Here is a 26,384-nt window from a genome sequence, read left to right as displayed (position 1 = left end):
TTGGTCTGATGAATACAGGTCCAGATGCACGAAGGATGGAGAAGAGTGGAGGAGACTGAGGGAATGAGGAGGGGACAGGGACTGTTAGAGCTGGGAGCAGGGATGGTAGCAGTAAAGGTGACGAGAGATCTGAAGGGCTCGGCAGGAATTTCTGGTGAAGAGTGTCATTATGTTACTACTTTATCCTAAATTTTACTTGCTATAAAATATCCTGCTGTGTGTGGTGACTCATGCCCATAATCCCAACACTTTGGGAAGTTGAGGCAGGAGGATCCCTTGAAATGAGCCTGGGCAACAAAGTAAGACTCCATCTCTACAAAAAATGTAAAAATTAGCCGAGTGTGATGGCTTTTGTCTGTGGTCCCAGCTACTGAGGAAGCTGAGGCAGGAGGATTGCTTGAGGACTGGGAGGTTGAGGCTGCAGTGAGCCATGATTGAGGCTAACGTGGTACTTATGCACGTGTGAACACATGTCTTTTTTTCTCTTGTAAGTTACTTAAGTGGTTAGCTGATTTTTTTTTTGAACTTCAAACACCTCAATCAATATAAAAACAAGCACAAATATTGTAAAACTACCATATTTATATTTAAACTTATTATTAATTAGCAATACTATGGGCTTTTTCATTAATTTCTTCATCTCTAAACCTTCCTAAAGTTAATAGTAATTCTCATTTTTATACCTTTCTGGGATTTTAGAAATCTCATCAAGCTGGAAAATAAAAAAGTGAGTGTCTTCTGGGACCATTCGTGTCAAATGTGATCAGGATTATTGACTGAGCATTGAGTAGGGGCCAGGAACCTGGTTGCTTCCCCCGATGTAATTTAAATCTAGGTTACTTGTTGTCTGGGTCCTTTTTTTTTTTTTTTTTTCCAAATTAACTTGTTAGTTTAATGAGGCCTTTTGAGCTCAAATTTATCATATAGATTTTAGTTTTGCCCAGGCTGGTGTTTCCCCTATGGAATAGCATTCCTTACCGACCACTTGTCATTATATCGACTTAGTAGAGAGATTGCAAACTTAAGCATTTCTTGTTGGGATCTTCTGATTAGAAGGCCACTTAGAGTTTTTTTCTTCTTCTCAGACAAGAGGTCTAGTCTAGCATCTTGGTTATTTTACGACAGATCACTGATTTTTTTTTAACCCAACTTCTTTATGTGACCACTGTGCTTATCTTCCTCCCCACCCGCCGTTCTTCTTATACTTCTTATTTTGCTCCAAAACTGTGGGTTTGCACAGAACTTCCTTTTTCCTTCCTTCATTATTGTACACACAGATAGACAAAATTTTCTATATAAGCAGACATACTTATTAGAGGAAGGAAATAACAAATGTATTGACTGTCTTCTACTTATTCAAATTCAGAAAAAAATTACTGGGCACAGTAGCTCACGCCTGTAATCCCAGCACTTTGGTAGATCACTTGAGTTCCGGAGGTCAAGACTAGCCTGGGCAACATGGTGAACTGTCCGCCTCCCCGCCCCCCATCTGTACTAAAAATACAAAAATTAGCCAGGCATGGTGGTGCGTGCCTGTAGTTCCACCTACTCAGGAGGCTGAGGCAGGAGAATCACTTGAACTGGGGAGGTGAAGTTTGCAGTGAGCCGAGTTCGGGCCACTGCACTCCAGCCTAGGTGATGGAGTGAGACTGTCTCAAAACAAAAAACAACAACAACCCAAACTGACACAAAATTAATCATATTCCTTGTCTTTAAATTTTTGCATTTCAACTTTTTTGGAATAACTTTTTTTGTTTTCAAATGTATATCCACTAAATATAATTTGTTTTCTTTTAATATCTACATTGTCACAACCTGGCTACCGGATACCATGTTAGGCTGTTTTCTTTGCCTCTTCTGCATTCTCCCCTGACATCCTTGAAAGCACTCTTGCATTCTTACCCTGTTTCCATGCTTGCAGACCCATCCTGGTTTTTATTTTCCTGTCTGATGATGTGGAATTAGCTATGTCTTAAGATCCTAGTTCCTTTCACGAGGAGTTGTTTTAGAGACTTCAAAATTTGGGTGTCTATGAGGGTTAGTGATGGACAAAAGTGTTCCTGTTGTTTTTGGGAAATGGTCATTGATTGTTTTTTTTTCCAATTTAACCAGTCATGTTGCTCTACTCTCCTTTTCAGTGAGATTTCATTGATGGCTAAGACTTTGCTCTGTGTTGGTGAACTCCAGCTCACTAAAGTGAAGTTCTAATAGGACTGGAGTTTTATAGGGAAACTGGGTAGCCTGAATTTCTTACTTAAAGGAGAATGTGAAAAGTGTTGTGGGCTAGGGAAAGAGTTTGCCAACTAGTTTATCTCTTGCTTTATGCTGTGGCAGATGGCCAGTCATGGCTTGAATTTACCCCTTTGTTTGTCCTGGCAAGCTTGTGTGTAGAGAGGCTTCTGTTGGCAGCTTGGTTGCTGTTTCAAAGTACCAAAAATTTTGAAAAACATTCTTCACAAATCCTGTGTGTGAGTTGTGGAAAAAGGAGGTAAATGTTCCAGGAAATCTCATACTCCTGAACTGGATGTCCAGTGGTTGGCTACCATGTTAGGTTTTTCCCTTCTACTGGGTTGTTCTTTCATTAAGTTGGTGTAAGTTAAACTTAAAAACTTGAACTTCAAGACTTGTAAAATGTCTTATTTTTGTTGCGCCTCATAATATGCATTTATCTTGTTGCCTCTTTTGTAATTCTGCAACATTCTCCCTAAAATAGACAAAATCTATCCTTTGTCCATTCCTGTTTTCCCCTTTTTAAATCAGTAATAAAGTCCCATTTGTTTGTAGACAGTTGTGCAGAGAAATAATAGAACCGATTGGACCTCCATTATTGCTGTATGGTGCTGTCATTTCAGGGGAAATAAGCCTGTAGCTTATAGACTGAAAACAAGCTTAGAGTTGGTGTTTGGGAGCAGTGAAGAGTACCCTTTGTAGACCGCCTTTTTCTCCGTGGTCTCATTTAGTCCACACTACAGCTCTAGGGAAGGAAGTGAGTATTAATATCCCTGTTTGACATGAAGACACTCAGGCAATTAGCAAAGTACTTAATCCAGCTATATGAGATGACTAGAAAGTGAATTCAGAAAGAAGGTCTGAACCTAGGTGTGTCTGACTCCATGGGGTGTACAGCCTGAATCGGCTCTCAGGGAATGCCCACTGCCTCCAGGGCAGTAGAGCCGTGTTCTCTGGATGAGTCCTCCACAGATGAGCTTCTGGGATGCTCACGTTGTCTGTCACCCAATGTGATTTCTTTGTATACTTTTTACAAAACTGTATCTTCTTAGCTAGTATTTAATTATATTCTCACCCTATTGTTTATGTTGCATTTCTTTTTAAGTGCACAGTTTCAATTTAAGAAAGCTGGCAAAAAACTAGTTTAACCTGATGGTTAAACAACCAGTTTAACTGTTGTTTTTAGGTTGAAAAATCAGTTCATGCTGCCATTAGTTAAAGGATACTTGAATCATGCAAAAATCTGTTGTTTACTCCAGCAACGTTCCCTTTAAATGGAAGCATCTACATTACTGGTTGCTGGTATTTCTGGAAGAGGCACGTGTTAACTGGAGTGAGGCAGTGGATCTTTGTTTTGTTACTAAGTGTAACTGCTGAAGTGTCTTCCTAGCAAAATATATGCCAAAGTTTACGGCAGGTATAACTTTTTTTTTCTAGAAATAATTACACATAATGTTAGACTTTAGGATTTCAGGTTTATTGTTTTGATGCAGAGGAGGGTACTTATAAATCTCATGGCTTTTCATTAAAATAAAACACATTATCAGCGAGTATATCTAATTAGTAAATCTCATTAATCTTATAATATTTTCCTTTTATCACGGACCTGAAAAGCAGCTTGTTGTCAGCTGTGCTCACTGGCGGGGTGCGGTGGCTCACGCCTGTAATCCCAGCACTTTGGGAGGCCAAGGTGGGAGGATCCCATAAGACCAGGAGTTCGAGACCAGCCTGGGCAACATAGTGAGACCCATCTCTTAAAAAAAAAAAACTGAGCTCACTAAAATACCCCTAACATTGACTGCATCATAGGGGAGGATGTCGTAGGCTTAACTTATATATTTTGGTCTATTACAGTTGATTAAAGTAAACTTGAGGCAACTGGCAACAAATTTATAAATAGCCAGAAAATGTAGATTCACAGTGTGGAACTTAAGTTACTTTGAAACCATTTTCTAAAAGCGAGTCCTGTTGAGGGTTAGGTATGTTGTGGAATGGTGGAATTCAAACAGATGTCTCACTGTTTGGATTAAGTCATAGAGAAGATCCAGAAAGGACTCCGGAGATTACACATGAGCAGCCTTGCTCTGGAATGGTAGGATTTGGTCCCTTCTCAGAAGGGACAGGCAGGGTGGTTGTGGAAGTGATTGACCTCTCCAGATGCTGTTCATGGTTTTCTTTTCCTGAGGAATAATGGCTGTGCTATCACTGGGGAGACGCTAGAGTCTGGAGACCTTGGTTCTCTTGTAGCTTGCTCTTTCATCTTGGGAGGGTCATTTTAGCTCTCATGAGACTGGTATGATTTTTTTCTCCCCTCTCATTCCGCTGTTGATTGTAGAGGAGCTGTAACATCGGGAGAAGTGCTAGGAGGTAAAATAAAGGCAGATACCATTATGATTGTTATTAAAGGACGAGAAAGTGGCTATTGCAGATGGCAGAGCTTGACATTTGGGGACAGATATTCATTGGGTGTTTTGTGAGCATGAGCACTTATAAAAAGAAGCAGTGATTGCTAGCAGCCAGCAAAAATAAACTAGGCTAGAGTTTAAACAATGAGCTTCTTAAGGAGGCAGAGGCCATGCCTGCATGCCACCCTACCCCATTTAAATTTTAAAAAATTATACAGAAAAGTATACTAAATGATACAGAAACACCTATATTCCTATTACTCAGATTTTTCATTTTTTAAAAAAATGGAGACAGGGTCTCTCTCTGTCACCCAGGCTGGAGTGCAATGACGTGATCTCAGCTCACTGTACCTCTGCCTCCCAGGTTCAAGTGATTCACGTGCCTCAGCCTTCCAAGCAGCTGGGACTACAGGCACCCGCCACCACACCCAGCTAATTTTGTATTTTTAGTAGAGATGGAGTTTTACCATGTTGGCCAGGATGGTCTCAAACTTCTGAGCTCAAGTGTTCTGCCTGCCTTGGCCTCCCAAAGTGCTGGGATAACAGGCATAAGCCACCGTGCCCAGCCCAGATTTTTCATATTTACTTCTAGTCTTTTTTTTTTTTTTTCATTTTTAATGAAGAAAGCATGGCAGATCTCCCTAAAGTCTCCCAGCCAGTTTCCATCTCTGCTGCCCTGCCTAGACTGAGGCAGACCACATCATGTTGTGTACTCCTGTAATGCATTTTTATATGTTGATTTATGGATGTGAATATTCACTTTTTATGTATGTATATATGTACATATATAATTTTATGTATCTAAAAAATTTACACAGATAGCAGTATGCCATGTATATTCTACAGCTTTTTTTTTTTTTTAAATTCACATCAGGCCGGGCACAGTGGCTCAATGCCTATAATCCCAGCACTTTGGGAGGCCGACGCGGGTGGATCATGAGGTCAGGAGATCGAGACCATCCTGGCCAACATGGTGAAACCCCGTCTCTACTAAAAATACAAAAATTAGCTGGGCATGGTGGTGGGCGCCTATAGTCCCTGCTACTTGGGATGCTGAGGTAGCAGAATCACTTGAATCTGGAGGCGGAGGTTGCAGTGAGCTGAGATCATAAAAATAAAAATAAAAATAAAACTCACATCATTTTGATACTTCTGCGGAGGGACACACCTCGGTGGCCCCTCCTCTACCATTTTTGCTGATGTCACTCTGAAGCCACTTTTTACACCATTCCGTTCTCTAGTTCCTAGCAAGATTCTGGTCCAAATTCATCCAAACTGGCTATTGTCTAGAATTTTCATTCTTCTTCACTCAAAAGCTTAACTTTTAGGGTTTAGGTCATGACATAAAAGAGTAGAAATAGCTTTTTTGTCCCTACATACATGGTGGATAGCATTTAGGGCACAATATCAAAACCTCTGTGTTACTATTTTTATCAATCGGTTCAGCGTCTGCATTGGTTTTCTCATTTTCAGTGTTTGGGCACACTGAGCTGTGTTCAATAATGGGAATTTTATTGTTAGTTGATTTTCTTTTTTTTTTTTTTTTTTTTTTTGAGACGGAGTCTCGCTCTGTCGCCCAGGTCGGACTGCGGACTGCAGTGGCGCAATCTCGGCTCACTGCAAGCTCCGCTTCCCGGGTTCACGCCATTCTCCTGCCTCAGCCCCCGAGTAGCTGGGACTACAGGCGCCCGCCACCGCGCCCGGCTAATTTTTTGTATTTTTAGTAGAGACGGGGTTTCACCTTGTTAGCCAGGATGGTCTCGATCTCCTGACCTCATGATCCACCTGCCTCGGCCTCCCAAAGTGCTGGGATTACAGGCGTGAGCCACCGCGCCCGGCCTGTTAGTTGATTTTCATTAAGTTCGGACTACTCCACAATCACCTAATCAATTGTTCCACTATAGATACTTTTAAAATGGACAATATTAATTTCCTCTGTAGCTAGGGTGATCATATGATTTACTGTCCAGAGCAGGGCACTTGAGAGTAAAGGGAGTACTGTTGACAGTCATGCTGGGGTAACAGTTGTAAATTGGAACCGTCCTAGGCAAAGATAGCATGCAGTCACCCTGTTCATGAAGTGAGAGGCGGTGGTAGAGAATGACTGGCCATGATCAGGTGGAACAAGGAACCTGAATGCTGCTGCTGAACTCGTTTAGGCATGCTGGTGAATGAAGCTCCCTGCGATCTAGAACCATCATTTAAGATCATTATGACCTCTGTACCTGACAGAGTCCACGATCCAATGAATTAATCACACCTGTGAAACCTGCACAGCATTGCAATCCGTGCTTAAAATGGGGAGAGGGCAAGCATTTCCGGAGGTGGTGGCAGGCATTTGCTGGGGCAGTAATGAAAGGTAATCTTTCAGTGTGCTGATTAAGATCTAGAAGCTCAATAAACCCTCTTCTCAGGGGAGCTTCTTGGAATCAAGGTAAGTAACTTGGGTTTCCTTATCGGAAAGCTAGGGTTAATGATAAGGTAGAAATGCAGCACTCCAGATGTCCTCCTGTCACCTGCCTTAAGGGATGTTTGTTCCCAATGTCAGTTGCGCCTCTGGTGTACTCTCCAGAAGCATGTTTGCTCAGCTGTGGAGGAGTAATTGAACATTGACCTTATTGGTCTCAGCACATAAACTACTGCAATAACAAATTTGATCTTGAGGGAAATTTGCTAATCCTAGTTACAGGATATTAGTGGTTTATTGGCATAGTACTTTTTTTTTTTTAATTGAGGCAGGATCTGGCTCTGTTGCCCAGGCTATAGTGCAGTGGTGTGATCATGGTTCACTGCAACCTCTGCCTCCTGGGCTCAAGCCATCCTCCCACCTTAGCCTCCCAAGTAGCTGGGACTATACAGGTATGTGCCACCATGCCTGGCTAATTTTTTCTTTTTTAAGACGGGGTCTCACTCTGTCCCAAGCTGGAGGACCGTGGTATGATCACTGCTCACTGCAGCCTCGGGCTCCTGAGCTCAAGCAGTCCTCCCACTTCAGCTTCCCAAGTAGCTGGGACCACAGAGCATGCCACCGCACCCTGCTAAGTTTTGTATTTTTTGGAGGGTAGAGATGGGGCCATGCTATGTTGCCCAGGCTAAATGGCTAATTTTTGTAGTGTTTGTAGATATAGGGTTTTGCCATGTTGCTCAGACTGGTCTCAAACTCCTGAGTTCAAGCAATCCACCTGCCTTGGCCTCCCAAAGTGCTGGGATTACAGATGTAAGCGACTGCTTACATAGAGCTTTTACACTTTTTACATAGGCCGGCATAGTGCTTTTGATCTGAAGTAGCTTTCTTCGTATTGCTGCTTTTTCTCTCTTCAGCTCAGTTATTTATTCATTCACCTAGTGTTTATTGAGCGTGTACTAGGTGGTGATCCACTAGGCACTGGCGATTTCATGGTAAACAAGATAGGTAATGTCCTTGCCATACAGACCCTACTTACAGAGATGTTAAGTTGGAGGATGTTACACAGTCGTAGTTGAGCAACTAGGCAGACTGAGTTATTTCAGAGAGGGATGAATACTGACAACCAAACAAGCTAAGGCGATGACAAGTGACTGAGGTGGGAATGACGGCTGTTTAGATGCGAGTGGTCACAGAATGCCTCTCTGAGGAGGTGACAGTTGAACTGAGACCTAAATAATAAGAAGCCAGAGAGTTGGAGTGAAGAGGGGTCCTGGCAGTATCACAGCAAGTACAAAAGTCCTGAGGCCAGATGAGTGTGGCACATTAGGAGAGTGTAAAAGGAAGCTAGTGTGGCTAAAGCACTGTTAGGGGTAGGGAGTGTTGGGGGTGTGGTGGGAGATAAAGTTGGAAAAGCAAGCAGGGGCCAGGTCACACTGGATATGGAGGCCACAGGGACATCTTTGGATTTTATTCCTCAGTGGGAAGCTTTATGCCGAGGGTGTACCACAGTCTGATTGACATTTTTCAGAGATTCCTCTGCCTTTAAGGAGGTGTTCTTTATCCAGTTGAGGAAGTTCCCCTCTGTTCCTAGTTTGTAGAAAGTCATTACTTTTTCATATATTTTTTTCTACTACTTTTTCTCTATTTCCTTCTGTGAACGCTTGGGGGTATCCTATACTCTGGGGCCTCTCTGTTCAGTCTGTTCAGTTTGTTCAGTTTTCCTCAATCTTTTTTCTCTCTGTTCTTCAGACTCGATAATTTCTATTAATCTAACATCAAGTTCACTGATTCTTCTGTTCTTCTGCCATCTGAAATCTGCTGCTGAGCCTCTCTAGTGAATTTTAATTTTAGTTGCTCTAACAACTAAATTCCATTTTGTTTTATATTTCCTGTCTCTTCGTTTTCTCTATTCATTGAGTCAGTTTCCTCACATGGTCCTTTAGTTCTTTAAACTTGGCTTCATTAGTTCTTTTAACTTATTTATAGTAACTGTTTCGAAGTCTTCATCTGCTAAACCCAGCATCTGGGAATACTCAGAGACCACTTCCACTGACTGCCAGAATTTTATTTTTCCCCCGAGTATGAGTCCTGGTTTCTTTTTCCTTTGCTGTCTTGTGAATTTTTGTTGACCACCATATATTTTAGGTAATATATTGATGCAGTTCTGGATTCTTTACATTTTAACTCAAGTGGATGGTGATTGTTTTATTTGCTATTTGTTTAAGTAACTGGACTGGACTAAATCTCAAGTCTGTCTCTCCGGCTGTATCTGACTCTGGATGTCTCTGTACTTCCGTTTTGATTAGTTCTTATTTTTAAGCCTGGTTTCCTAGAGAGGTTGCCCCTGTGTCTGCATAGCATAGTGTTCAGTAAAGATTGGTCAGTGCTTGTAGTCAAACACCTCGAGCCGGTAGGGCTCCCTTCTCTGCTCAGGACCTGTTGGACTGTGGAGCACACGGTACTGCAAGCTGTTTGCGAGTGCGCCCCAGCTGTACTTTGCCCTGGTCTCCTTTTACAGCTCCTCTGTGTGTGTGCATGCATGGGCTCTAATGACCAGGTGTGCATGGGTGGTGTGGGCCTGCACTGCTGTCTGCTGTGCATGCTCAGAGCCTCCAGTCCACCTGGGATGTGTGAAGAGCTTTATAAGCCCCCTACAGCCATCTCATTTTCAAGGCCTCCCTATTAAGTCTCCAGCTGGTGTGCCAGTCCATTGCTTGTCCCAGATAGAACAGCAGCCTCATGGCAGCAGGCCTCTGGCCCTCCGTGCTGCTTGCCTGCCTCTGGGCTTGCTGCTCTCACTGACAACACTGCAAATCCAATGAGTCCCTGCCAGCAGTGGCAGTGAGTTTGCTAGTTTTCAAGGCCTGCCCCACGCCTGTTAAACTTCTGAATTGACAGAGCTGAGGGCAGGGCAGATGAGGGCAGCTCTTGGCAGGAAAAGTCACAGACTTGTGCTGTTCTCACCTGGAGTCCAGTGGGTTTCATGAATAAACACTTCTCAGTTTGTTGAATGTCTTGCTTGCTTTCCAGAGCACCAACTAGGTTGTTTTTGACTCTTGACCAGCTTTATAGTTGCTTTGTGGGAAGAGGATTTGTGAGCCTTCTCACTCTGTTATGCTAGAAGTTAGACATCCCCTGGGAAGTTCTCGAACGTGCCCCTAGGTAATTCTGATTGGCAGCCAGGGTTAGGCACCAGCACACCTGGGACTCTTTGAGCTGTAAATATACACATACAACATCAGGGCATAAGAAAGTTTTTGCCATATTGACTTTCTAAAAAGAAGAGTCTTGAATGTTTCAGGTGTTATAAATAAGGACCTAATTTTAAAACAGGACCTAACTAGGGTCTAGAATGTAGACCTAGCCTCTGCCAAATTGGTCAGCAGCCTTTCTTGCTGATATGTTAAAGTTTGCCGATTTAGACCTTGCACTTGGCATGGTATTATTTTATTTTATGTTCAGCTTAGTTGGCTAGCATCCATTTCCTGAAACAGACTCCTAATCTAATTTTTCCAGGTTGGAAAGCTTCTTAAGCAGTACATGTGCTGTGCTCAGAGGTTGTCTGGAATCTGTTTGAGGTATTCTTAACTCTGAAAGGATATTATTCATGGCCGACATATGAGAGGGGACTACACTGAGAACATTGGGTTATTACAGAACATTAACTGATTTTTTTGTGCTGCTTCAGAAACATTACTAATCAGGTTTTGGGGATGTGAGTAATTGTCCAGTTCTAGACCCATTGTGCAATGGATACAGTGGATAAAGTTGCACTGGACTCTGAAACCAGTAGTGGACAAGAATAGCATAAAAAAGAGACTAATAGATCAGCCTTACCTAATAGGATGAAATCTTAAATAAAATACCAATGAACTAAATCTTTAGAGCAGTGTTAAACATTTTTGGTATATTTTCTTTCATTTTTTCTGGATTAGTGGTTCTGAGCATGTGATCCAAGGACCTGTGGGGATCTCTAGACCCTTTCAGGAGGTTCATGAAGTGAAGACCATTTTTATAATAGCCTTTTCCACTCTCATAAGAAATAGCAGAAGCAGATGAGAACTCAGCTGTATTCTATTCAGCTGAATTAAAGAGATGTGAGCAAATGTCACTCTTTTCACTAATTTTTTTAAGAAAACAATTATTTTTAATAAAATGCATTATTTATGCTAACATGTAATAGATTGTTTTTTTTTTTTTTTTGAGACAGAGTCTTACTCTTGTTCCCCAGACTGGAGTGTAGTGGCGCGATCTCGGCTCACTGCAACCTCCGCCTCCCGGGTTCAAGCGATTCTCCTGCCTCAGCCTCCTGAGTAGCTGGGATTACAGGTGCCCGCCACCACGGCTGGCTAATTTTTGTACTTTTAGTAGAGATGGGGTTTTGCCATGTTAGCCAGGCTGGTCTCAAACTGCTGACCTCAGGTAATCCACCTCCCTTGGCCTTCCAAAGTGCTGGGATTACACGCATGAGCCACCGCGCCCAGCCAACATGTAATAGACTTTTAAATGAATTTTAAATACATCTTTAAAAAGTTAATTGGTTTTGATTTGCAATATGGTAAATGTTGATTGATATAATTCACATAAACAAAAGGTCTTTGGGGTTGTCTAATTTTGAAGACAGTGTAAAGGGGTTCTGAGACCTACCTTATAGATAGATAGATAGACAGATAATGCAATATATACTAATATAATATAGAGTATATACTAATATGATATCATATATAGTAAATACTCATATGGTATTTATAGTATATATGAATATATTATATATAGTATATATTATATATATAGTCAACTAAAGGAAAAAATCAAGCTTTTAAAGAATTAAAGTTAATTTTACTCAGAAGTCTTGCTAAGGACTATAGCCCGAGGCTGGCAGCCTGGGAGTGGTCCTTTGGAGAGGTCTTGTGAGATGGCCCCTGCACAGTGTTCCAGCCACTGCTTATATGCAGGTAGTGCAGGACCATTCCAGGTAAAATCATATCGCACTTGCTCAGAAAGTTCCATAAAAGCGGAATCATGAGGTTTGGGTATGAGAGGATATCTGGTTATAGCTTGCAGAAGCATACTCACTAACCCCGTCAGATGTTATCTCACGTGCAGAAAAAGGCAAGGACGGGTCACGTATCCTATAAGAAACATCGTGACTCAGGCAAGAGATGTGGTGGGCCATGTGCTCTACCCTATTTTGTCTTCAAAACATTCTTCCAGGGAGCATTTTGTCACATACTCGGGGTTCAAGCGGAAATGGCAAACATGGCTTCCTATGTTTGCTAATTTGTCTCACAGTACTACATATGTGTCTCCCTCAAAAAATGGGATTGGCCTCATACTGTGCATATTGTATAATGTACATTTTTTGCTTAATATCACAAATGTTTCCCATACCATGAATTGTAGTGGGTCCATAATATTCCATTTTACAATTACCATAATTAGCTTAATCTTATAAGTAATGGTATAACAAATTTTATGCATATTATTGATCAATTTTTAAATACATTTTTTTAGTTTAAGAGGATTTGCCTCTTGTTACTTATTGCTTGGCATTCTGTAAGGCAATGGCATTTAGGGGGAAAAAAAAAAGACTAAAATATGATTCCTGCTGTGCAGAAAAGAGTTAACATGGCAAATCTGAGACTGCTAATTATCAGAAAGCCTGGCTTGAAAGGCTGGTCCTCGGCTGGCCTCTGGGAACTTGGCTGATAAACCCTGATAATAACCTTTCCCTATATGAGAAGAGTGGCTCAGTGTGCCTAAACTATTTGTACAAGTTGTGTGGTTATGCTGAACACCTGGTTTCCTTATTGGAGTCTGAAATTTTGGTATGTACTAGGCAGCGGGTGCCTATGTGACCAGCCCGCAGTAATAGCCTTTGACATTGAGTCTCCAATGAGCTTTCGTGGTAGACAACACAACACATTGCACGTGTTGTCAGCACTCGCTACTGTGGGAAGGAAGTGTGTCCTGAGTCACTGCATACCTGGTTTCTTCCAAACTTCTCTCCGTGTGTCTTTTCCCTGTGCTGCAACTCAATGGTGAGTCCTGTGAGTCCTTCAAGTGAATCACTGAACCTGGGGATAGTCTTAGGAACTCCTGACAAACCTGCTGTTAAGGAACTCATAGCTGAGGAGGGAAAAAGAGATAAGTATGTAATTATAGTACAGTTTGTGTTGATATAAAATAGTGTAGTTAACAAGATAAAAAGGAGCTAAAGAGAGGATAGAGGTCAGAGAAAACTTCACAGGAAGACAATGAAAGAGTATTTTGAAGGATGCATGGAATTTTTTCCAGTAAAGAAAGAGAAGGTGGATCTGGTAGGCAGACAGCATGAACGTAGAGCAATGAAACTCATAGTAAGTGGGCTTGGAGCACTCCAAGCAGCTTGGTAATACTGAAGCAAGAAAGATCCTGGGCAACGTGAGGAGATCATGTTGGAGAGTTAAGTAGGTAGTCATTGAAGGGTTTCCATTTAGAAATGTAAGGTACAGAGGATAATGAAGGGGAAAATGAAAAGGCATGGGTAACAGTTTCGTGTTCCTGGTCAGGAGATGAATAAAAGGAGCGTTGATACTGGGATCTGTGTAAAGAAGAGAGGATTAATGAGCATTAATGTAAGCAAATGTGAGGAGATTTCAGAGCATATTTATTTATTTTTAATTAATTTTATTTTTTGAGACGGAGTCTTGCTCTGTTGCCCAGGCTGCAGTGCAGTGATGCAATCTCAGCTCACTGCAACCTCTGCCACCTGGGTTCAAGTGATTTTTTTCTGCCTCAGCCTCCCAAGTAGCTGGGATTACAGGTGCACATCACCACACCTGGCTAATTTCTGTATTTTTAGTAGAGACGGGTTTTCACCGTGTTGGCCAGGCTGGTCTTGAAACTCTTGGCCTCAAATGATCTGCCTCTCTTAGCCTCCCAAAGTGCTGGAATTTTTTTATAGGCATGAGCCACCACACCCAGCCAGCTTATCACTACTTCTGGTTCTTCTGCACTTGAATCATCAAATGCAAATATCAGTTTTTGAAAACTGACAGCTAACAATTTTGAAAAGAGAATGGCCATCTTTTCAGTTGTAAAACATTTTATTAGGTTTATAAACAGCAATTAGAATGATCAAGTCAATGAAAAATTTTTTAACATTCGCTCTCTTTCTAATCACTTTTGTGTGTACATCAACCTTTAGCATTTGTCTTCTTATGAACCCATCCAGTTAATCTTGTTGTATGAATACACAGTAGACAAAAGAGTACTGTTACACATCCTCTTAGTAAGGCAGTGTTCTGGGCTCCTCTGACAAACGTTGTGGTGAAGTCCTTTCAGTTGAATGACCCACTGGATGAACATGCCCTATTTTCTTTTTGCCCTTAATAATAATTATTTGTTCGTTGGTTCTTTTCTGCTTTGCTTTTTCAAAAACCTATTTAAAAATAATTGTAGAACTAAAGGAAGCTGCAAAGACAGAGAGATACAGTGCAAACTTCACCCATCTTTCCCTGACAGTTACTTCTTGGGATAACTTATGTGTATATAATGTACAATATCAAAATCAGGAAATTGACATTGGTATTATGAGTGTGGATAGTTCTGTGTCCTTTTATCATGTCTAGATTCTTGTAACCACCACTATAGAACAATTCTATCACCACAAAGATCTCCCCTGTGGTGTCGATAGTCACACCAACCCCTGCATCCCCCATCATCCCTAACCCCTGGGAACCTAGTCTATTATCCTTCACTATAACTTTGTCATTTTGGAAATGTTATTATAAATGGAGTCATACAGTGTGTGAGAGATTGGAATTTTTTATTCTGCGTGACGCCCATGAGGCCTATCCAAGTTGCTGGGTGTTTGAGTAGTTTGCTTTGTTACCTTGCTGAGGAGGATTCCATGGCATGGGTGCCAACCTTTTATATGGCATTTAATGGGATCATCTTCTAAAATCTAGTCTCTCTTTTAATTGGTGTATTTAGACTATTTATATTACTTTTAGTTTTAAAATGTCCACTTTATTCCATGTAACACTTCACCAGAGATCATTTACATCTGAGGAAGAGATGGCCCATGAAATTGATCTATAGTAAAATACTCTAAGAAATGCAGTCCAATTCTGTACATTTCCAGGCACCCCTAAAAAAGTGGATCACAATGCAGAAATATAGGCATTGTTACTACAATTTACATAAGATAAAAGGGAGATATCAATAAACCTTAGAAAGTAATAAATTCACCCGTTTCTTAATGTATGGGTATGCAGTTGTTACAAAGCCATAGTAAATGGTTTATAAAATGAGATTTTATTTTGTGTTCCTCTGCTGTTTCATAGGGGATAGCATTTTTACAAGGCTCTTTTGGGACTACAGCCAGTGATTAGCAGCACATAACAGTGGTCCACCCCTAAAGAACAATCACTAGACAGGCTGGATACCCTCTGTCACATGTGCACAAATCTGCATGGAAAAGGACTAAACTTTTAGACTTGGACTTGGGTACTTATTTCCCCTTTCTAGTGTATTAAGAGATGACATGCGCTTTAATTTGCCAAAAGCAATGCTTGTATTCTGGCAGCAACATGCTACTTCTATTACATAGTAAAGTGAATACCAGAACTGCAAAGGCAGGAGGTGTAAGTGAATTTGTATTGGGAAGAGACGTCAACTTAGACAGCAGCAAATGAAGAGTGAATAGGAAAACTGCCTGTTGCCACAGACGTACATGACCTCTACAATATGTGATATAAGAGGCATTTCAAATTTATGGCCTCCAGCCCAGAGATGGCAAGTGCTTTTCCATTCAGTCTAATACTTCTGCGTTCCTACTAAAAAGGAATATATTAAGAGCATAGAAAAGTTCCTTACTGAAAGGAAATCTCAAAGAGCAAGGGAGGGAATGTAGAAATTAGGAAGTTGGCTGGGTGTGGTGGCTCCTGTCTGTAATTCCAGCACTTTGGTAGGCTGAGTTGTGCAGATCACCTGAGGTCAGGAGTTCGAGACCAGCTTGGGCAACAAAGTGAGACCCCCATCTCTACAAAAAATAGAAAAATTAGGCAGGCATGGTGGTGCATGCCTGTAATCCCAGCTACTTGGGAGGCTGAGGTGGGAGGAGAATCTCTTGAGCCTGGGAGGCGGAGGTTGCAGTGAGCTGAGATTGTGCCACTGGACTCCAGCCTGGGCAACAGAGCCAGATCCTGTCTCAAAAAAAAAAAAAAAAAAGAAGTTCTGTGGAACACTCTTTAAATTGTAATTAACTACATTTTCATATATTTACAGTAATACAAAACACAGTCACTTGCAGACCTGGTTAAGATTAAATACCAGATACAAATATGTCCTCTACATAAGTTTTTTCAAGTTACTTTTGTTTATATGGAATGAAACTGTTAATACTTTTCTACAGCAGTAACTGCACACCAGGAAGGCCAAGACAAACACAAATCAGGGAATCAGGTTTTCTCAAAGCTGCAGTGTGGAAATACTATAAACAGTTGGTTCCATACACATAAATAGGTTTCTTTGCTACAGGAAATCCAAGTGGAATAAGGAATGGACATGGTAAAAAGGTTTCTTGAAGGGAAGAAGGATAACACCCTGCATGCATTTAGTGTTCAGCCCCTTCTGCTGCATTGCGTTCTTTTCCTGCACTGTGTGATGTCCACAGTGTTATTAGGTTGTCTCTCAGCAACTGCATGATGAGGGGGCTGTCTGAGTCTTCAGTGTATCAGGTTCTGCAGTGGCTTCATCAAAGGCTGTTTTAGGGCTGGGTGCGGTGGCTCAGGCCTGTAATCCCAGCACTTTGGGAGGCAAAGGCGGGTGGATCACTTGAGGCCAGGATTTAGAGACCAGGCAGGCCAGCATGGTGAAACCTCGTCTCTACTAAAAATACAAAAAATTAGCCTGGCATGATGGTGAGCACATGTAGTCCAGCTACGCGGGAGGCTGAGGCACAAGAATCACTTGAACCCAGGAGGCGGAGGTTGCAGTGAGCTGAGATTGCACTACAGCACTCCAGCCTAGGAGACAGAGCAAGACTCTGTCTCAAAAAAAAAAAAAAAAAAAAAAGCCATTTTAGCCAGTGGGCAGGTGAGCTCAGGGTTGTTAAGGATCTCACAGTAAAATATAGAAAAGTTAAGAGCCAGCCCCAGGCAGATCGGAAGGGGGGGGTTGCATCTCTCTCTTGCTTATCAAATTGTCAAATGTGTCTTGGTAAGCTCCTGGGAATTATCTACCATCTGTGTTTTTTGTTTGTTTGTTTTGTTTTGTTTTTATTTTGAGATGGAGTCTCGCTCTGTCACCCAGGCTGGAGTACAGTGGTGCTATCTCAGCTCACTCAACCTCCGCCTTCTGGGTTCAAGTGATTCTCCTACCTTAGCCTCCTGAGTAGCTGGGATTACAGGTATGCACCACCACACCCAGCTAATTTTTGTATTTTTGGTAGATGTGGGGTTTTGCCATGTTGGCCAGGCTGGCCTCGAACTCCTGACCTCAGGTGATTCACCCACCTCGGCCTCCCAAAGTGCTAGGATTATAGGCATGAGCCACTGTACCTGACCTACCTTCTGTTTTTGATCATTACCACATGCAACTTCAGCAAGATACTGGAAGTAATCCCCCTTTACTTTCAGATAGAAGACGGTTCTCTCTGGATTAGTTGCATTGGCTATTGAATATAATACTTATCCCAAAATTCCAAGACCATGGTGTATCCAAAAATTCCAAGACCATGGGACAGGTGGATCTCAGCTCAGACTCCACTTTCTCCCTATGGTACTTAATCAGTAGCAGCTTCATGTCGGAGGTGTCAGTTTCCTGCTCAGTGCCCAAAATGTCCTTCCAGGTGGACCTGTAGTCCCTGACCCCATACTTGTAGGCCACTGAGAGCAGATTGCGCTCCTTGCTGGACAGCTGGGTGCCCCACTTGGTCATGGCCTTCGTGTAGGTGGCCATGTTGTCACAGTGCTTAGCCTGCTGGGCCAGCTCTGCCTTCACCATGGTGGGTGGGTGGCTGGGGCTGGGGCTGGGGCCAGGCTGGAGCTGGGGCTAGGGTGGAGGATGAATCGAGAGAACAAGAGCTCTAGACCATTTACATTTAATGTGATTATTGTTACGTTAGGCTTAATCAAGTCTACCATTTTATTTTTCTTTGTAGTTTGTTCCTTCAGTGTTTTAATTTTTTTTCCTGACTTCTTGTGTGTTCCTGAAACAGTTTTCAAAATTCCATTTTGATGCATCTGTAGTGTTTTTGAGTGTATTCCTTTGTATAGATATTTGAGTGGTTGCTCTAGGTATTTCAGTGTACATATATAACTTACCGTGGTCTACAGGGGTTGACGTTTTATCAGTTTGAGTGAAGTATGAAACTATTTCCTTTAAAGTCCTTTGCCCTCCCCAGTTGATCTTTTTTTTTTTTTTTTTGAGAGAAGCTCTCACTCTGTCACAGCTCACTACAGCCTTAACCTCTAAGGCTCAAGCAATTTTCCCACCTGAGCCCCCGCAAGTATGTGGGACCACAGATGCGTGCAACCACACCCAGCTAATTCTTTAATTTGTCTATAGAAATGGGGTCTCGCTTTGTTGCCTAGCCTGTTTATAATTGTTTTAAATATTTCTTTTACATTGAGAACCACATCAGACAATGTTACCTTTTTGCCTCAACCATCAAACATAATTTAGAAAACTCGAGAAAAGGAATGTCTCCTTGCATTTTTTTCTCTTTTTCAGTTTTTCCCTTTTGATGTTGCAAGATTCCTTCCTTTATCATTTCCTTTCTTTTTTAAGAACTTCCTTTAGCCATTCTTTTCAGATAGGTTTGCTGATGGCAAATTCCATCAGTTTTCTTTTTTATAAGAATATCTTGATTTTCCCTTTATTCCTTACAGATAGTTTTGCCAGAGATGGTATTTGAGATTGACAGTTCTTTTTCTTTTCTTTTAGTGCTTAAAAAATGTGCCATTTCCTTCTGATCTCCATGGTTTCTGATGAGAAATTTGCTGTAATTCAAAATCTTTTCCCCAGTAGGTCATGTGTGTTTTCCCTCTGGTTGATTTCAAGATTTCTTCTTTGTCTCTAGTTTTCTAACGTTCAATTGTGGTGTTTCTTTTCATGGGTTTCTTCAGGTTTATCCTGTTTGGGTTTTGCTCAGCTTCTTGAATCTTTATGTAGGTTTATGTGTTTTACCAAATTTGGGAAATTCTAGCTATTATTTCTCCAAGTACAGTCATGTGTCACTAAATGATGGGGATGTGTTCTGAGAAATGCATCGTTAGGTGGTTTTGTTGTGTGAACATCATAGGGTATACTTACACAAACCTAGATGGTACAGCCCACTACACACCTACGTACTGCTCCTAGGCTACAAACCTATATAGCATGTTACTGTACTGAATTCCATAGGCAATTATAACACAATGGTAAGTATTTGTGTATCTAAATATATTTAAACATAGAAAAGATAAAGTAAAAATACCGTATAAAAGGCGAAACAGTATACCTGTAGAGAGCACTTACCATGAATGGAGCTTGCAGGAGTAGAAGTTGCTCTGGATGAGTCAGTGAGTGAGTGGGGAGTGAATGTGAAGGTCTAAGACATTACTGTACACCACTGTAGACTGCCATAGCCTTCACAAATACTGAACTAAGGATATACTCAGTTTATAAAAATATTATTCTTTCTTCAAAAATAAATTAACCTGGCTAGGGGTAGTGGCTCACATATGGAATCCTAGCACTTTGGGAGGCTGAGGCGGGAGGATCACTTGAGCCCAGGAGTTCAAGACCAGCCTGGGCAATATAGTGAGACCCTGTCTCTACAAAAAAAGAAAAAAACCACAAAAATTAGCTGAGTGTAGTGGCATGTACCTGTACTTCAGCTACTCTGGAGGCTGAGGTGAGATGATCACTTGAGCCAAGAAGGTTGAGGCTGTGGTGAGCCTTGATCAGGCCACTGCACTCTAGCCTGGGTGACAAAACGAGACCCTGTCTCAAAAAATGTTAATAATTAATCTTAGCTTATTGTAACTTTTTAACTTAAAAAAATTTCAACTGACTCCTTTGTAATAACACTAAGTTTAAAACACAAACACATTGTATAACCACATAAAATATTTTGTTTTTTATATTCATATTCTATAAGCTTTTTCTATTTAAAATTTATTATTTTTTTACTTTTTAAACATTGTTGTTAAAAAGGAAGAGACATACACATTAGCCTAGGCCTGCAGAGGGTCAGGATCATCAGTTTCCTAGTCTTCCACCTCCGCATCTTGTCCCACTGGAAGGCCTTCAGGGGCGGTAACACACATGAAGCTGTCATCTCCCATGAGAACAGTGCCTCCTTCTAGGATACCTTCTGAAGGACCTGAGGCTGTTTTCCAGGTAACTTTTTTTCCTATGAGCAGAAGGAGTATACTCTAAAAGAACAATAAAAAGCATAGTATAGTAAATACATAAACCAGTAACAGTTGATTGTCATTATCAAGTGTGTACTGTACATAATTGTATGTGCTAGACTGTTACATGACTGGCAGTGCAGTAGGTTTATTTACACCAACATCACCACATCCATGTGAGTCATGCATTGTGTTATGCTGTTACAATGGCTACAGTGTCACTAGGCGATAGGAATTTTTCAGCTCTATTATAATCTTTTTTTTTTTTGAGACAGAGCTTGCTCTGATGCCCAGGCTGGAGTGCAGTGGTGTGAGCATGGCTCACTTTACCATCAGCCTCCTAGGCTCCAGTGATCCTCCCGCCTCAGCTCCCTAGTAGCTGGGACTACGTTACCCAGCTAATTTTTGTATTTTTTGTAGAGATGGGGTTTCACTGATTTGCTCAGGCTGGTCTTGAACTTCTGGCCTCAAGCGATCCTCTTGCCTCAACCTTCCAAAGTGCTGGGATTACAGGTGTGAGCCACTGCGCCCAGCCTCCATTATAATCTTACAAGACCCCTGGACATATATGGGGCAGGACTGTACTTTTCCCACCCCACCCTCTTTCTCTATGTTGCTTCTCTATGTTCTTCTGTGTTGCTGATGATAGCCCTCTTTCTGTATGTTCTGTGTTGCTGATGATAGCAGTGTTAGATCTCAGATCTTTTGTTACAGTTCCAAACGTCCCTGAGGCTCTGTTAATTTTTTCCTTAGTCTATATTCTCTCTTTTGACTAGATTGGGCAATTGCTGTTGTCTTTCTTGAGGATCACTGATTCTCTCCATCTGCTCTTGAGCTCACCCATTAAGTTTTTTTTGTTTCAATTATTATATTTCATATTCTGAAACTTCCATTTGTTTATTTATATTTTCTATTTCTTTGCTTAGGGTTTCAGTTTTAAAAATTTGTTTAATGTACCCATTGAAGCATTTTTATGATGGCTGCTTTAAAATCCTTACAAGGTAATTTCAACATCTGCGTCATCTTGGTGTTGGCATCTGTTCATAGTTTGTTCTCACTGATGTTGAGATTTTCCTGGTTCTCAATATTATGAGTGATTTTCAGTTGTGTCCAAGGCATTTTGGGTGTTTATTATAAGACTCTGGCTTTTATTTACATTGTCTGTCATAGCTGGCCTTTTCTGACATCATTTTGGGAGGGTACGGGCTGTGCCACCTCATTATGCTGGTGGGAATGGGATGAAAGTCCAAAGCATCCATCAGTACCCAGCAGGGAGGGATTCCTCCTTCCAGCTGTGCAGGGTTGGGAGGTCAGTTTCCCGTAAGTCCTGTGCTGATGCCACACTTGCTAAGAGGGGAGAAGGGACCCTGCTACTGCTTCTCCTGTGGCCTCCACTCACACCTCACCAGGAGGCTCATTACTGGTGGAGGGTGGTGAAAGTCCCAGCTCCCTCACTCAGTCTTTCCTGACCCCATCCACATATTATGGGTGTCAGGGGGCCTAGTAACAGTTGGGCAAGGGTGGAAGTCTAGGCTCCCTGCCTGGCCATTGCTGATAGAGTGGGGATGGGACCATGTGTTTTCATGGTATATGGCTGGAGTAGAGTGGTGATTGTCTGACGTTTTCTGTCCTGCTGGGTTGCCCTTTACTGAGTCCTTTGCATAGGGTTAGCAGGCTTTTCTTGGTCCTTTTTTTTTTGTGCTCCTGTTGGTATTTTCAGGTTGCCGACTTTTCTAGTTCCCATTCTAGGATATATGAGGCAGAAAGAAAATTCAGAGAACTCACTACTGTGTTGTTTCTTGGGTCCCAGTGACTCTACCCTTTCTGCCTTCTGCTTTCCACCTTTCAAAGTCTTCTTATTTTTTATTTTTTGTGGTGGTTGTTGAGACAGGGTCTCACTGTGTTGCCCAGGCTGGAGTGCACTGGCACAAACTCAGTTCACTGCAACCTCTGCCTCCTATGCTCAAGCCATCCTCCCACCTCAGCCTCCCGAGTAGCTGGGACTACAGGCGTCTGCCACCACGCCTGGCTAATTTTTGTATTTTTTGTAGAGACAGGGTTTCCCCATGGTGCCGAGGCTAGTCTTGAACTTCTGAGCTCAAGTGATCCACCCGCTTCAGCCTCCAAAGTGTTGGGATTATGGATGTGAGCCATGGTGCCCAGCCTTCTTATTTATAATATCTGGGTTTATAATTGTGTTTAGCAGGATGCATAGAGAGAAGTGTGTCTATTCCATCTTGGTCTGGAACTGGAAGTCTCATCTGAATTAGAGAAAGTTCTTCAAGGATATTGTCATCTGAAGACTCATAGTCTGAGATTTTGCTTTTATGATCAATTTCACCACCATTATTAGAGTCTATAGTGATACTACCTGCTTTCTACATTCATTTTCTGATTTGTCCTACAGTTGTCAGATGTCTTTGCTGTAACTTTTCTTCTTTTTGCCATTTTGGGTACAAAAAGGAAAAATCCTGAATTCCCAGTTGTTTTCAGCAAAGGTTACAGAAGACTACAAAGTAGTGTTTTTGAACTTCTTTTATGCTATCCTGAAAGATGATGCCAGTAGTCTTAGAAACACAATAAGAAAACTAAAAGATGATATAATAGTGGTGATTTATGTCACTATGTACCATCCTCCAGGTGGTTCTATCATTCTTCCATTTTATTTAGTTTTTTTTAGCATGATTAGGAATGATTGATGAATAATTATAAAATTGTAAAGTAATTCTTAGGACAATAAAATAGCAAAAAGTTTTAAGATATAGAAAAAATAGGCTCACTGAGATCCTATATCTGTATTATTTATCTATTTATGCATAATAAATTACCACAAGTTTAGTGGTTTAAAATGATACATTTATTATCTCTTATTTTCTGTGGGCTAGGAAACTGGGCATGGCTTAACTGAGCCCTCTACCTGGGCTCTCAAAAGGATACACTGAGGTGTCAGCTGGACTACACTATCATCTTGAGACCTGACTCGTAAAGAATACACTCCCAAGCTTATCCAGACTGTTGGCGGAAGTCATTTCCTTGTGGCTGTAGGACTGAGAGCCCAGGCTTGTTGTTGGCTGTTTTCTGGGATGCAGCTCTAAGCTCTTTGTCACATGGGCTTTTCGGTTTAGTTGTTTACTTCTTCAAAGTCAGCTAGGAAGTCTATAGACACCATATATTATACTATACACTATAGATGTTATATGAGATGGAGTCCTGTGTAATATAACATAATCCTGGAAATGACGCCTATCACCTTTGCCATATTCTGTTCATTAGAAGCAAGTCATTGTGTCTGCCTGCACTCAAGGGGCAGAGGTTGTGGAAGTCTGTGAATACCAGAAGGACGAGGGTCACTGGGGTCACTGCAGAGTCCGCTTGTGACAGTGTCTTAGATTTATAAAACAGTCTGAGGGACTCATATGGTAATTGCTAGACAGAATGAGTTATATTCTTTTTTTTTGTTTTAAAAAAAGCCCAGATGTTCCCTTTATCCTTTGGGAGGTTTCTAAGAAAGACTAAAAGCCATGAAGTATCAGTCCTTAAAAATAGAAGATTTCAAAAAAGAAACGATAGCTAAATTTGGGTGCGGCGGACCTTGGTGACATACTGAGGGTTAAGGAGGAGTCAGATGGGATGGGAAGATAAAATCTTGATAACCTATATCCTCACCTGTCTCATCATCAGTGGACTATTGGAAGAGTCAGACAAGGGTGGAGGAGGCTGTAGCTCACATTCTCACTGCTGCCTCACCTGTAGTGAGGCAGGTTCATTTGTTTTTTTCCTTTTTCAGTCTGAGGCATCTTCTGGTTCACTAGGCCCCTTTCATAAGACCACAGGGTGAGTCTGTCAAGTTCCCACAGTTAAAGTGGGAGTGCCGCAGCCTGGAAGCACTAGCCGGTGTTGGAAATGGTGTCAGCTGTGATTTTGGTCTGGGCCTGCAGGGCAAGTGAGTGGACTGTTTAAACCATTCACATGGAGAAATAAAGTCCTCAGTAATTTGAAACAAAGAAAAAGGAGACAGGGCTATTGTGGGGTGGGTGGGGGGAGCATGAATAACATGAAAAGAAAGAGGTGAGAGCAGTAGTTTGATTGAAAATAAGTCCAGAAAAGAAACACAGAAGAATTTGAAAAGGACTTTGCAGAAGAATATTAGGAGGGGGAAGGTGGAAATGAATGAGCAAAAGGAAAGTGAGAAGAGGGAAGAAGGAGAAAGCATGAAATAGGTCATACAAGGAATATCCAGATCTAGCTAGGGACATGCAGTAAGAGGACACGCTTGTTAGTAGAGCTACTCCATAGTGTGTGACTGGTTAATTATCAGTACCCTGCTTTTTAGTTAAAGATAGTTCTAATGAAGAACTATCTACATAGTACACTTAGCTATATGTTTGTAACAGTTACAACTATCTACATAGTTCTACATTAGATAACTATGTAGTTATCTTTGTAGTTCTAATGTAGAACTACATTAGAATTCTAATGCTGTGTCTTGAGGATTCTTCATAGGAAAATACAGCGCATTATAGCTTTCAGAATACAAAATGTTCTTAATTTTCCTTTTAGAATGAAATACACCTTTATGAAGAAGTGTCTCCCAGTAACTTTAAAGTACTTAAGGAAAATAGTTTATAACCACCTGATAATTTTTACTCCAAGCTCCTTGTGGTTGTTGAATTTTAAAAAGTCAGGTTGAATACAATCATTGTTAATATTTTTAGAAGTGAAGAGCTGTTATAAACATATAGCTAAGTGTACTCTAATGAATGTTATCATGAGTTATGAATTTTTATAGTTCCTCATTTTATTATTATAAGGGAATTTGGGACTTCACGATGAACTTACTGAAAAGAGATTGCCCTTTCCCAAGGGAAGTCAAGGAAAATTATTACGTCTATTTAGATTTGGGAGGCCGAGGCGGGCAGATCACTTGAGGTCAGGAGTTCAGGACCAGCCTGGGCAACATGGTGAAATCCCATCTCTACTGAAATACAAAAACTTGGCCGAGTGTGGCAGTGTGCACCTGTAATCCCAGCTCTTTGGGAGGCTGAGGCAGGAGAATTGCTTAAACCCAGGAGGCGGAGATTGCAGTGGGCTGAGATCATGCCACTGCACTCCAGCCTGGGTGGCAGAGCGAGACTCTGTCTCCAGAAAAAAAAAAACACCAAAAAACCAAAAAAAAACCTGTGTTATAGGTACATGCAGCATCGTTTGTTTGTCTTAAGGTGTTATGTTTATTAGGTCAGGGGATAGATTTTAACTTATTAAACCTCTACCTGGAAGTTTGTTTTGAATGACACTGTTAATGATTATATTAGCCGACAGCTTAGAGAAATAGTGGTTGCGTTCCAGAAAATATTTCAACCATAGCCGATTTGGTATTCACTAGTCACTGTTTTGTAAGTATACTGAAAACATAAGGGAGTAAATGAATTATTTTCATTATTTTAATTTAAATAAAGTGTATGATCCTGTATATCTATGAGCCCCATTTTCCCTTTTGAATTTAGAAGGGTGCAGCTATTTTCAGAATCCATGCGTATGTGTTGGATCCTGACTGGAGTACTCCAAAACCAGAATAATCTTGATAATGCCATGTAAGAGACCTTTGAAACTGGTGTTCACTGGATACTTGGAAAACCCTCTCTGTCCCAAGTTAATCTTCAGGATTACGGCCCTAAACATTTTAATGAGCGCCCCCTGTCCCTGGAACCCTTAACCTGTGGGCCAGAGGAAGGGAGAGGAGAAGGAACTGGTAGACTAGAACTACATAAACTTCTAGGTTGCTCGAGTCTAGAACTACCCCGAGGACAATGCTGGCTACCTCTGGGCTTCTCCGCTCATGGACCTGGGACTGGCACATCAGCATCACCTGGGAGCTTGTTAGAAATTCTTGGGCCCCACCTCAGACCATGGAATCAGGATCCCTGGAAGTGAAGTCCAGAATTCTGTGTTTTAATG

At 41.4% G+C, this 26,384-nt stretch overlaps 1 protein-coding gene, 1 long non-coding RNA gene and 1 pseudogene across 2 annotated transcripts in view; 1 reads left to right on the top strand and 2 right to left on the bottom strand.

Annotated features, from left to right (window-relative positions):
* The window catches only part of MGAT4A (alpha-1,3-mannosyl-glycoprotein 4-beta-N-acetylglucosaminyltransferase A), a 112,027-nt gene that overhangs the window by 18,997 nt on the left and 66,646 nt on the right, over positions 1–26,384 (top strand). The gene's annotated exons all lie outside the window — the stretch shown is intronic.
* Positions 4,319–16,251, bottom strand: LOC124906050 (uncharacterized). Its single transcript, XR_007087149.1, has 3 exons — positions 13,028–16,251; positions 10,006–10,257; positions 4,319–4,589 (listed from the first exon to the last, which is right to left on the bottom strand). It is a non-coding gene; the product is annotated as an uncharacterized LOC124906050 (long non-coding RNA).
* YWHAQP5 (YWHAQ pseudogene 5) lies at positions 16,643–18,021 on the bottom strand (annotated as a pseudogene).

The sequence above is a fragment of the Homo sapiens genome, chromosome 2 (genome assembly GCF_000001405.40).
Source record: "Homo sapiens chromosome 2, GRCh38.p14 Primary Assembly".
Classification (NCBI taxonomy): domain Eukaryota; kingdom Metazoa; phylum Chordata; class Mammalia; order Primates; family Hominidae; genus Homo; species Homo sapiens.
Note: the sequence above shows the minus strand (reverse complement) of the source record. Positions and strands in the feature narration are given on the sequence as shown.